We start from the raw sequence: 11,154 nt of genomic DNA on the forward strand, positions 1-11,154 counted from the left end.
GACCCACACAAGTTCAAAACACAATAGGGCAGTCATTAAATCTTAAGGCTCCAAAACAATCTCCTCTGATTCCATGTCCCACACTGAGGGCACACTGAAGCAAGGGGTGCACTCCCAAGGCCTTGGGCAGCTCCACCCTTCTGGCTGTTCCTCACTGAAGTTACAAGCCGCTTGTGGCTCTAACATTCAGGGATCTGGAGGGTGGTGGCCTTTTTCCCACAGCTCTACTAGGCATTGCCCCAGTGGGGACCCTGTGTGGGGGCTCCAATCCCACATTTCCCCTCCACACTTCTCTAGTAAAGGTTTTCTGTGAGTGCTTCTTCTCCTCACAGCAGGCTTCTGCCTGGGCACCCAGGGTTTCTCATACATCCTCTGAAATCTAGGCAGAGGCTGCCAAGCCTCCTTCACTTTGGTACTCTGTGCTCTCACAGGCTTAACACCACATGGAAACAACCAAGGCTTATAGCTTGTGGCCTCCAGCAAACAGTGGCTGAGCTGTACCTGGGTGCCTTTGAGCTAAAGCTGGATCTGGAGCAGCCTGGATGCCAAGAGCAGTGTCCTGAGGCTGTGCAAGGCAGCAGGGCTGTAGGCCTGGCCCACAAAACCATTCAGTCCCCCTAGGCCTCAGGGCCTGTGATGAGAGGGGCTGCCTCAGAGATCTCTGAAATGCCTTTGAGACCTTTTTCCCATTGTCTTGGCTATCAGCACCTGGTTCCTTATTAGTTATGCAAATCTTTCTAGCAAGTGGTTGCTCCACAGCCTGCTTGGATTTCTCTCCCCAAAAAAGCTTTTTCTTTCTCTGCCATATGGCCAGGCTTCAAATTTTCCAAATGTTTACACTCTGCTATCATTTTGAATATAAATTCCAACTTTTAGTCATTTCTTTGCTCCCACATCTGAGTTAGGTTGTTAGAAGCAGCCAGGCCATATCTTGAACACCTTGCTGCTTAGAAATTTCTTCTGCTTGGTACACTAAATCATCACTCTGAAGTTCAAACTTCCACAGATACTTAGGGTATGAACTGAATGCAGCTAAACTCTTTGCTAAGGCATAATATGCATTACTTTTGCTGTAGTTACCAATAAGTTCCTCATTTCCATTTGAGACCTTATCAGCCTGGACTTCACTGTCCTTATCACTATCAGCATTTTGGTCACAACCATTTAACAAGCCTCTAAGAAGTTCCAAACTTTCCCTCATTTTTCTCTCTTTTTCTGAGCCTTTTAAACTCTTCCAAACTCTGTCTTTTATCCAGTTCCAAAGCTGCTTCCCCATTTTCAGTTATCTTTATAGCAACTCTTCTGGAACCAGTTTTCTGTATTAGGCCATTTTTCCATTGCTATAAGTACCTGAAGCTGGGTAGTTTATAAATGCAAGAGGCTTAATTGGCTCATGCTTCTACGGTCTGTACAGTCATGGTGCTGGCATCTACTTGGTTTTTGCGGGGGACTTACTGAGCTTTTACTCATGGTGGAAGGCAAAATGGGAGCAGGCACGTCGCTTGATGAAAGCAGGAGCACGAGAAAGAGTGAGGTGGGGGGTGCTACACACTTAAACAACCAGATCTTGTGAGAACTCACTTAGTATTGTGAGACTAGCACCAAGCTATGAGGGATCTCCATGATCCCCATGATACAAACACTTCCACCAGGCCCCACCTCCAACAATGAGGATTACAATTTAACATAAGTTTTGGTAGGGATGAATATTCAAACTCTATCAACCTCCAATTAACTTTTTAAAAAATAACCCTTTTATGATATGAATATTCCCTTCCACCCCTTTGTATGTCCACACTGAGAGTGGATAGAGAGTGGGATGTCCTATGTGAAGTTGAGGAGAAAAAAAAAATCCTCCAGACACACAACAACATATGAATTAAACTAATGTTCTTAAATAACTAATGTCCAAAATGTACTATTGCATTTTCTATTTCAAAGCCAAAGGCGGAAAACAAAAAAAGCTTCAATATCTTACCAAGTTATGCAAAGAAGAATTTCCCCAACAGTATAAATCTGTGAACTTGTTCACTGAATGATATGAAATAAAAATTCTAAAATTGGGCATTTTATCACCAGATCCATACCTTACTGAGTCACCAGCAAAGGTTAGCTTATGTTTGGACAGGAAAGTTTGCTGTGACAAATGAAGCAGGTTTATCAAATTAGCTGTACTTGGTGGAGTGCCAGCTTAACACAACTTTTTTTTCCCTCACCTCAGCTCTATAAACCCGTGTTTTAGGCTCTTATCCCCTGTGCCTGACCAATATATTAGACAAAGACCACAGCCTTCCAGTGCCTTTCAGATATTGGCACAATCTCATTTTTAGTTATTAAAACATTGCTCCAATTGAATGTCATAATTCCAGTCTCTCAATGCATCCCAGCTCAGATGCAGCCATGAATTCTGCAGTTGAGCCTAGGAGTAAGTAGGTTGCCTCACTGGAGGGACAAGGTTCCCCAACTTGTCCCTCCACAACCCCTTCTTTTCTCATCATGCTGCAGCTGGCTGCCCTAGGATGAGGAAAGGGTGGAGGAATGAGAGTGAAAGGACAAGTTCTTAAGGGACTGGTGCTCTTGCAATATGGAATATGGGCCTTCTGTCATGGCAAATGCCCAAATAAAGTTTCTCTCATGTTGGATTTGAGAATTCCACATTTCCATCTTCACCCTCCCCCTTCTCTAACACAATACTGTTTCCTAACCAAGCAATGCATTTTTTTGGCTAACATTTTCCTTACAATTGTCACTCAACTCTTGCCCCAGTGGTATTCACAGAGGAGCAGGAGTTAGTGTAGCGTTCTTTTCTGATGACTCACACCTGGCTACTTTCCAAGCTATTGCTTCTGGCTTTAGGAAACATTACACTTCTTTTGCCCACAGAATTCTTTAAGGTCTGGCCTCTCCCTTGGCAGCTGCAATCTTTGCTCTGAATTTTGAGCAACTCCAATCCTAGACTCTTCTAGGAAATAATCAATTATGAAGGTCTCGACCAATCACTCTCATATGAACCCAGAGGGTCAGAAACTACTAAGTACTTTGTCCTGTGTTTAAAAATACCTAAATTTCTGCAGCTTACCAAATAACCAGTTGGATGAGAGGATACGTTTTTATGTTTCTGGAAAGCTGAAAAGCATCCCGTTTTCTACAAGTGACTATCTTAAATCAACTACTTCAAAGATTCTTAACATGCCTTGTCATCGGCTTTGTATTCTGGGACAAAACTCCTAGACTATGGGAGAAGTCTCACCTTAACATGTACTTCACAATAGGTGAGTTACAGTAACTTTAGGAGAGCATATTTAGGATGGTGTTGGTGATCCCAGAGCTTAAATGCACATACAAAAACCAAGGTGTACTTTAATCATGAAATTAGTAACTCTGGGTTAAAATTCTCCATAGGGCATCTGGTCCAATTCTACAGGCAATAATTTAATCAATAGTAAAAGAGCTTTAATAAGATTTTTTCCAACTTGGCTTGAATACCCCTTAGAGACAAATAAATCCTTATATCACAAAGCTGACCAAACCATTTCTGTATAGTTCTAAGTGTTGAAAAGTTTGAATTTACATCGAGTCAAAATTTACCTATATGTGAATTTCACACAATTTTTCAAATTTATCATCTAAAAACTCATAAAACTTGACCTGAGCTTGGTTTGACTTTCTGGAAGAGTCAGTGTCTAGGACTGGAGTTACTTGGAAATCAGAGCAAAAATTGCAGTCATAAAGCTCACTTTTCCTGAGTTTGCTAAGCTGCGAAAACTCAGACCTTCTCTCTGAACACAAGGACCAAGTACTTGGGAGTTTGTGTTCCTTAGGGTTTAGGGGTGAGTGAAGTCACTGGTGATTGCCTCTTCCATGGAAGTGTCAGAGTCTAGTATCGGAGTTTCTTGAAAGTCAGATAAAAGATTGAATCGGAAAACTCACTTATCCATATGGTAGCCCTATAGGTTTTTTGAGAACAATGGTCATTTCCCATTTAGACTATTCTTCTTTAAACTAAATTTCCCTCAAATTTTTTCAATTTTTCAATGTATGACAGGTTTTGAAGTTTTCTTACTATTTTGGTGACCCTTCTGTTATTATTTTCCAGTTTTTCCAACATTCTACTTATGGTATGTATGGTAGACAGGATTTCTTTTTTTTTTTTTTTAATATCTAAGAATGTTATTTTCTTTTTTTTTCTTTTTTTTTATTAAAGTTTTAGGGTACATGTGCACATTGTGCAGGTTAGTTACATATGTATACATGTGCCATGCTGGTGCGCTGCACCCACCAACTCGTCATCTAGCATTAGGTATATCTCCCAATGCTATCATGGTAGACAGGATTTCTAATAATGCCAGAAAGAATGAAACAGAAAACCACTTCTGTTAAAAGTTAACTTCAAAACAAGAGTAAAATCATGACTCCTGTAGATATAAAAATGAATACATGTTAAAGATTTCATATAATCAATAAGGACATCAGGCAGGCATTTTTACTGTTTCAAAAAAAATCTAAAGAAGAGATAGATTTATAGAACAGAAATATTGAAAAGAAGGCACAGTTATAGACAAAACTGCTGTCTTGTTTTTGTTTTTCATTGTGGTGGGAGGAGTCAGATAACCAGAAGAGTGGCTGGAGTCTAGATAATGCAAAGTTCTCCACTGAAGCACAGGTATCTTTCCTACATTTCCTTGCTCTAGATACTAGTCTTTAAAATTCACAGGATAATGATAAATATATAACCCAATACTTGATAGTTGTAAAATTGCCATACAGCTTTAAAAAGTTTCTTTGTATTATAAGGTTTAATATAATATGCCAATAAACACTGAGGTTAGTCTTATGTAAAAAAGAGGAGGTGTTGAAAGTTTGCCCTTCTGTGGCATATCTTAAATGATCAATAGTTTGCTAATTGTATCTTCTCTTTCAAGTTTTCAATATTTCATGGTCTCTGGATTTACCAGTTTCAAATTAGTTAACAAATTCAAGTTCACTGAAAAAATACCAACTTAATTCATAAGTCTGCTATATGCATAACATACAAAATAAGTAAAAAATACAGATTTTTGTAGATAAATTATATTTTAGTTGAACAGAACAAGGGGAAGATACATACAAATATATTAAAGACAAAGCATACCTCATTTAAAGGCAAAAAAGCTATTGGATTTTTAAAAATGAGTTAATATGTTAGGTTAGAATAATCAGAAACGACTCAATGAGAAAATTGGATTTTCACAAATTATAACAAGATACAGAGTACTCAAGGAGAAGGAAACAAAAAGTATGGATTCTAGATTAGAATAACTGGAAATATTGCTCAGTCATTCAAGGGTCTTAATTGTCAAGTTAATTAATTTGTATTTAATTCTTAAAACATAACTATTAGAATTTTTAAAAAATGTTATTTACATAATAAGAACAATTCTGTGATTTAATCTAACATAGCTATGAAGGTTAGATTGGAAAGCACAGAGACTTAGATAAGAAGACCACTAGAAAGTAAAATTTATGTGACTTGACAGCAATTTTTTTTTCTTTTGGCTATGGAGCAAGAAGGGATAGGAGTAGAGAAGGGAGAGAAAATAATGAAAGATGATTCCAACTTTTCCAATGTAGGTAAAAATCTCTATTAGCTTCCTAGGGCTGCTATAACCAATTACCATAACTGGTAGCCTAAAACAACATAAATTTATTCTCTAACTGGTCTGAAGTCTAGAAATCCCAAGTCCTGGTGTCAGCAGGGACATGCTTCCTCTGAAAGCTCTAGGGAAGAACCTTTACTAGCCTCTTCCTAGCTGTTGGTGACTCCTGCAATCTTTGGCTCCCTTGGTTTGTAGCAGCATCATCAATCTCTGTCTCTATCTTCACATGGCCTTCTTCTTTGTGTTTCTCTTCTGTATCTCTGCGCATCCACTTCTTATAAGGACACCAGTCATCGGATTTTTAAGACTCACCCTAATCCAGTTTGAGTTCCTCTTGATTCTTCACTATCTGCAAAAACTGTCTCCAAATAATATCACCTTCTGTGGTTCTTGGTATACATCAATTTTTGGTAGACACTAATTCAATCCACTATGGGTAACCTGGAAAAACATGGTTTCATGACTTCGAATAAATGTTCTGCTCTGTTCTCTTAGAAAAGCAGTTATTTGTGAAGGTAAATTCAGATTAAGTTTCGAGGAGCCAGATTTGTGAATGGGAAAGTCTGGAGTAGACCAACTCTTGGCTATTAAATGCAGAGCCAAAGATAATAATAACAATAATAATAATAATAATAAAAGATGGAGTCAGTAGTAAAATTTAAATTATGAAAAAAGAAGACATTCTACACAAAGGTTTGGTCTGAATTAGTGAAGCAAAAAGGCAGAAACCAGGTAAGAAATCAAGTGTCTTGGCTCCCCAGATATTACCAACTCAGTCCATTGCTAAGGCAAAGCTGAGTTTATTGCTTACTCTGTAAGGAGGAATACCACCTCCACAGAGCTTTGGCAGTATCTCAAAGCAGGAGAAGGTGAGGTCATAATTTATTGAAAATGAGAAGTTTGGTTTAAGTTGGATCTTCCAATGCAGGGACTTGATTAGGATCGCATAATGATCACATATAACAGTCAAAGACTGCTGGAAACAGCAACATGAGGATTTTGAAGAGAGGAAATTAAAGAATCTTAGGGCTCAAATTATTGATGCTTTCCATTGAAAAGTTGATAGGTCTTTCAGAAAGTTCTTGGAATTAACAGGCAGATCATTTACCTGTGCAACAGTCTCCAGGGAAAGTAAAATTATGCTAATGAAGACAGTGTAATAGCAAACTCCTGTTAATGTGGACAATAAAGTGTGATTTCTGTTCTCTGTGCCCTTTCTGAGTGTGGAGGTAGACAGTTTCCAGTCTTCACCGGAAACAGAGACACAAAGTCACAGCTAGTATGTATGGAATAAGGAGCTAGAAAAAAAATCTAGGTGAATTCTTTGAGGTGCAGACCACAGAGCCTAAGATAAATTTTTGTTATGCTTTCATTTTATTAAAAAGATGTCTGCAACCTTGGCTAAGGGTTAAAAAGGAGTTGTGAGTGTATACAAATTTTGAAACAGTAATAATAAATCCAAGAAAGAAATGGTAATAAAATTCAGAAATGTAAGGCTTTAGGAAATACTATATTGTTTTATTTAAAAATAAACTGGGTGGTTTCCATGAAGGGTTATGGTAGACATTACTAAAGCTTCCTGATAGCCAATTCTCTTCTTTGTGGATTTGTGAAACACTGTACTTACCAGTCCTCTTTCAAACAGGCAAAGCCATGTGATTAGTTATGACAATAGCTTGTGAGTGGAAATTACTTCCATGTGTCACTTCTGGATGGAGGCAATGAAAATCTGTTGCATGATCCTCCTCATTCTTTTTCAACCACTTAGACTATGGTGGCTATATATGGAGATTCTGGAGCCACAGGATAAATCTAGATCTCTGACTCATTTGGAAGGGAGCTGCCCTGGAGAGCCTTGCAGCTGACTTCCTGTAGGCAAGAAATACACTCCTTCGTGTGTGTGTGTGTGTGTGTGTGTGTGTGTGTGTGTGAATCCAATAGAGTTTTGGAATTTATTTATTCCTGCATTATATCCTATCCTAAATAATACTTGTGGTAATACTATACAGAAAATTTTAAGTGAAATGAAGAAATGATAACAAAGTGGGTGAAAAAAATCATAAATAATTGTTTGAAGGACCTTGATGATAAAGAAAAAAAGGGGAAGGAGAGGTGTTTTCAAGGTTCTAGAAGAAAAAGTACATTTTTCATATTTTATCTAATTTAAAAAAATTGGATGACAGCGTACTAAGACATTCAGAATTAACTTTTCAGATTTTTAGGATCATAAAATTAGCCCTTTCCATCAGATAATGTCACTCTTTACCTTCTGATCCCCAGGACTCATATTAAAATTCATATGTTTGGTGATTTGCCAGGAATTTGACCTTATAGCCAGGAGTTTGATCTCATTGAAACTAAAAGCCTATATTACATCACGTTACTCTTTGAAAAAATGTTCTCTGCCCCTCTATCCTCTAGATTATTGAAATATATTTTGATAGTATTTAACATAAGACATAGTTTAAATTATTTTTAATTTATCATAGACTATTTCCTTGATAAATTGTTTTCATACTTTTTCTATCAATTGCCAGTTAAGTACAATGTGTTCTCATAATTCCAGGAAGTAGTGTTACGGCTGTCAGAAATGATGTGTTGCATAATCAGTAACAGTAAATAGACTAAATCTTTGAAGCCATTCCTGCTGGAAGGTGTATAAGAATATCCACTGGAAAGTGCCAAAGTATACCTGCCAACAACTGAAGCCTAGGAGTTGAAAGAATTAGGGAGATAAATAAGGAAATGTGCTATAACTGTCTTGAAATATTGAAATGTTAGACTGGGAGGGCATTGTGAAAGTACACAGTGATCTCTTGTTTTATGTGGCAAAGTGTTCTGTTGAGGAGAAAAGTTATCTACGATTAACCCACTTTTACTGCTAAGTCCTGAGAATGTGTTTTGTAAAAATGTGTCAATATGAGAGAAAAAGAACGCTCTGCTAATCAAAGCCCAGTGTATGGTAAGTATTCAATACATTTTTGGTAATAAAGGAAGTAAAAATGAAATAATATAGTCACTGAGCAGTTGGTCTAGAAAATGAAAACTTATCTTTTAGTATCATTTAGAAAAGGCTTTCCTCTAGAGTTCTTGTCTTCATTGTAAAAGCTTGGGCTGTTAGTGGATAATCTCTCCTGGAGAAAAACGGAGCCAGAGTGTTAGGTTGAGGCTCACGTTGTAAATAACTGAGCTGGATTTGGGAATGGGAATGTGGGTCACATGAATGGTGACAGTTGGCTTAAGTGGCTGAGCCAAGTTGGGACTATGATTTGAGTGACAGTCTTGGGAAGAAGCCAAAGCAGAAATAAGGCAGATATCCAAAAGAATCACCAGACATTCTCCCTGAAAATGAAAAGAAATTAGGTTAAGGCAATGGAGCAGAAAATAGGAAAAACCTAAGAGAGAGGATGAATACTGGGACCCAGACAAATTCTTGGAAATGAAGAGTAAAAATTGCAATCACTTCTTAGAAGGTAAAGTAAATGTGCTGTGGCAGAGACTGCTAGCACTATCCTTACTTCGTTGGTATTAACAACCTTACTGCTAGATGGACATATTGCAGTCCAGGAAAAATTGAGGACATGCCTCATCCTCTCTTGTAGCTAGTTAAGGCTGAGTGCCTAAATTTTACCCAATAAACTGTAGTAAAAATGGTTGTGTGACACTTAGAGAAAATATACTTAAAAATACGTAATTCAAAGAAAATAGACTTTAAAAACACACACACACGTTGTACACAAAACACACACACACACACGCACACATGCACATACACAAACACACATATTCCCTTACAATACAAAATACAAAATAAAAATAAAATACAAAATAAATAGAAAAAATAAAACATATTTTAAATTTTTATTTATTTAAATTTTATTTTAATTTCATATTTAAATGGTTATTTAAATATTAAAAAAATACAAAAAAAATACAAAATAGAATAGCTATGACAAGCTCCAGCAACCATTTTGGATCATGGGTCTGGAGAAGGCAGAGTAGAAAGTAAAATGAACTTAGGTCTATAAGGACTTCATGAAGTTTCCATTGCTAACTCTGACTTGCTTATCTCTGGATCTGTTTTACTTAAATATATATCTATATCTATATCTATATCTATATCTATATCTATATCTATATCTTATTCAAGCTTCTGTTATTTGATTCTATGTTACTAGAAATACAGAGCCTGATTGACCTGGAGTTACAGCTCCATTTTTGTCTCTAAAAATGGAGTTGCCTTGAATATAATAGAAATTTTATAGAAATTTCTATATATAGAAATATAATAGAAAATTTTCAGAGACACATCTAAGTGGGAGCTTGACAAACACTGATAGTGACTCACAATGCTGAGCACTCACTAAGGCGCTACAATACTTGAAATTTTTAATTGGTTTTGTGTCACAGTGCAAAGCAGAATGTATTTTGTAATGGTAGTTTTTTAATATATTTTGGTGAATTGATGATAATCATCCTATGATTTAGATAGCAAGAAACTTTGACCAACCCTCTAGTTTTTCAGATAAAGAGACTGATTAAGATCTTGACCAAAGGAAGATAAAAATCCAATTTATAGTAGAAATGAAACTAGCAACTAGGTATAGTGATTTTCACTCTATTATCTTTCTATTCTATTGCAATGCCAGTATATCAAAAGGGACAAAATTGTCTTTGCTTTTGTCAAGATGTAACTGTATAAGGGCTCTCACTGACCACAGAGACTGTCTGGTATATATTTTGAAGGCCTAAAAAGTTCTCCTTTGAAAAACACAGAGTAATTAAAATTTTTGAATTTTTATTTTGGGAAGTTTATCTTTTTAACTTATTATTTATTTATTTGTTTATTTTATTTATTTATTTTGTTGGGGGGACAGAGTTTGGCTCCTGTTGCCCAGACTGGAGTGCAATGGTGCAATCTCGGCTCACCTCAACCTTCGCCTCCCAGGTTTAAGCGATTCTCCTGCCTCAGCCTCCTGAGTAGCTGGGATTACAAGCATGTACCATCATGCCCAGCTAATTATTGTATTTTTAGTAGAGATGGGGTTTCTCCATGTTGGTCAGGCTGGTCTTGAACTCCCAACTTCAGGTGATCCGCCTGCCTCAGCCTCCCAAATTGCTGGGATTACAGGCGTGAGCCACCACGCCCAGCTATTTTGGGAAGTTTCTATAATTTACATCCCCACCAGAACTATACTTTCATACTGACCTTAAAACACAAATAGCACCCCATACTAATATGTTTAAAAGTTTTTTGCTAGTGTACAGAGCATCTAGATGATTCTAACATATATGCAGAAATCAGAAGTGGATTCAGATTTTGTGCAGACCTGGACTTATACAATTTGGAGGCATTCTCTTTAAAAGAAAACAAAATTACAAAAATGAAACTGGATAATAAACTCCATTTTTGTATAGAAAGAGAAAAGAAATCACATGAAACATAAACTTTTAAAAAGTGACAAATTCCACAAACATTATACAATTGAGAAAAATAATACACTATTTTAATAAACTG

General features: G+C 36.8%; 2 annotated features.

The window, feature by feature from the left end:
• Window positions 1,982–2,762: an enhancer, noted in NCBI's record as "H3K27ac hESC enhancer chr4:157919659-157920439 (GRCh37/hg19 assembly coordinates)". NCBI's record gives its function as "activates a minimal SCP1, AML or CMV promoter by ChIP-STARR-seq in primed H9 embryonic stem cells {active_cell/tissue: H9 hESC(primed)}" and the evidence as "EXISTENCE:reporter gene assay evidence [ECO:0000049][PMID:30033119]".
• Window positions 2,763–3,542: an enhancer, noted in NCBI's record as "H3K27ac hESC enhancer chr4:157920440-157921219 (GRCh37/hg19 assembly coordinates)". NCBI's record gives its function as "activates a minimal SCP1, AML or CMV promoter by ChIP-STARR-seq in primed H9 embryonic stem cells {active_cell/tissue: H9 hESC(primed)}" and the evidence as "EXISTENCE:reporter gene assay evidence [ECO:0000049][PMID:30033119]".

Source organism: Homo sapiens, chromosome 4 (assembly GCF_000001405.40).
Source record: "Homo sapiens chromosome 4, GRCh38.p14 Primary Assembly".
Classification (NCBI taxonomy): domain Eukaryota; kingdom Metazoa; phylum Chordata; class Mammalia; order Primates; family Hominidae; genus Homo; species Homo sapiens.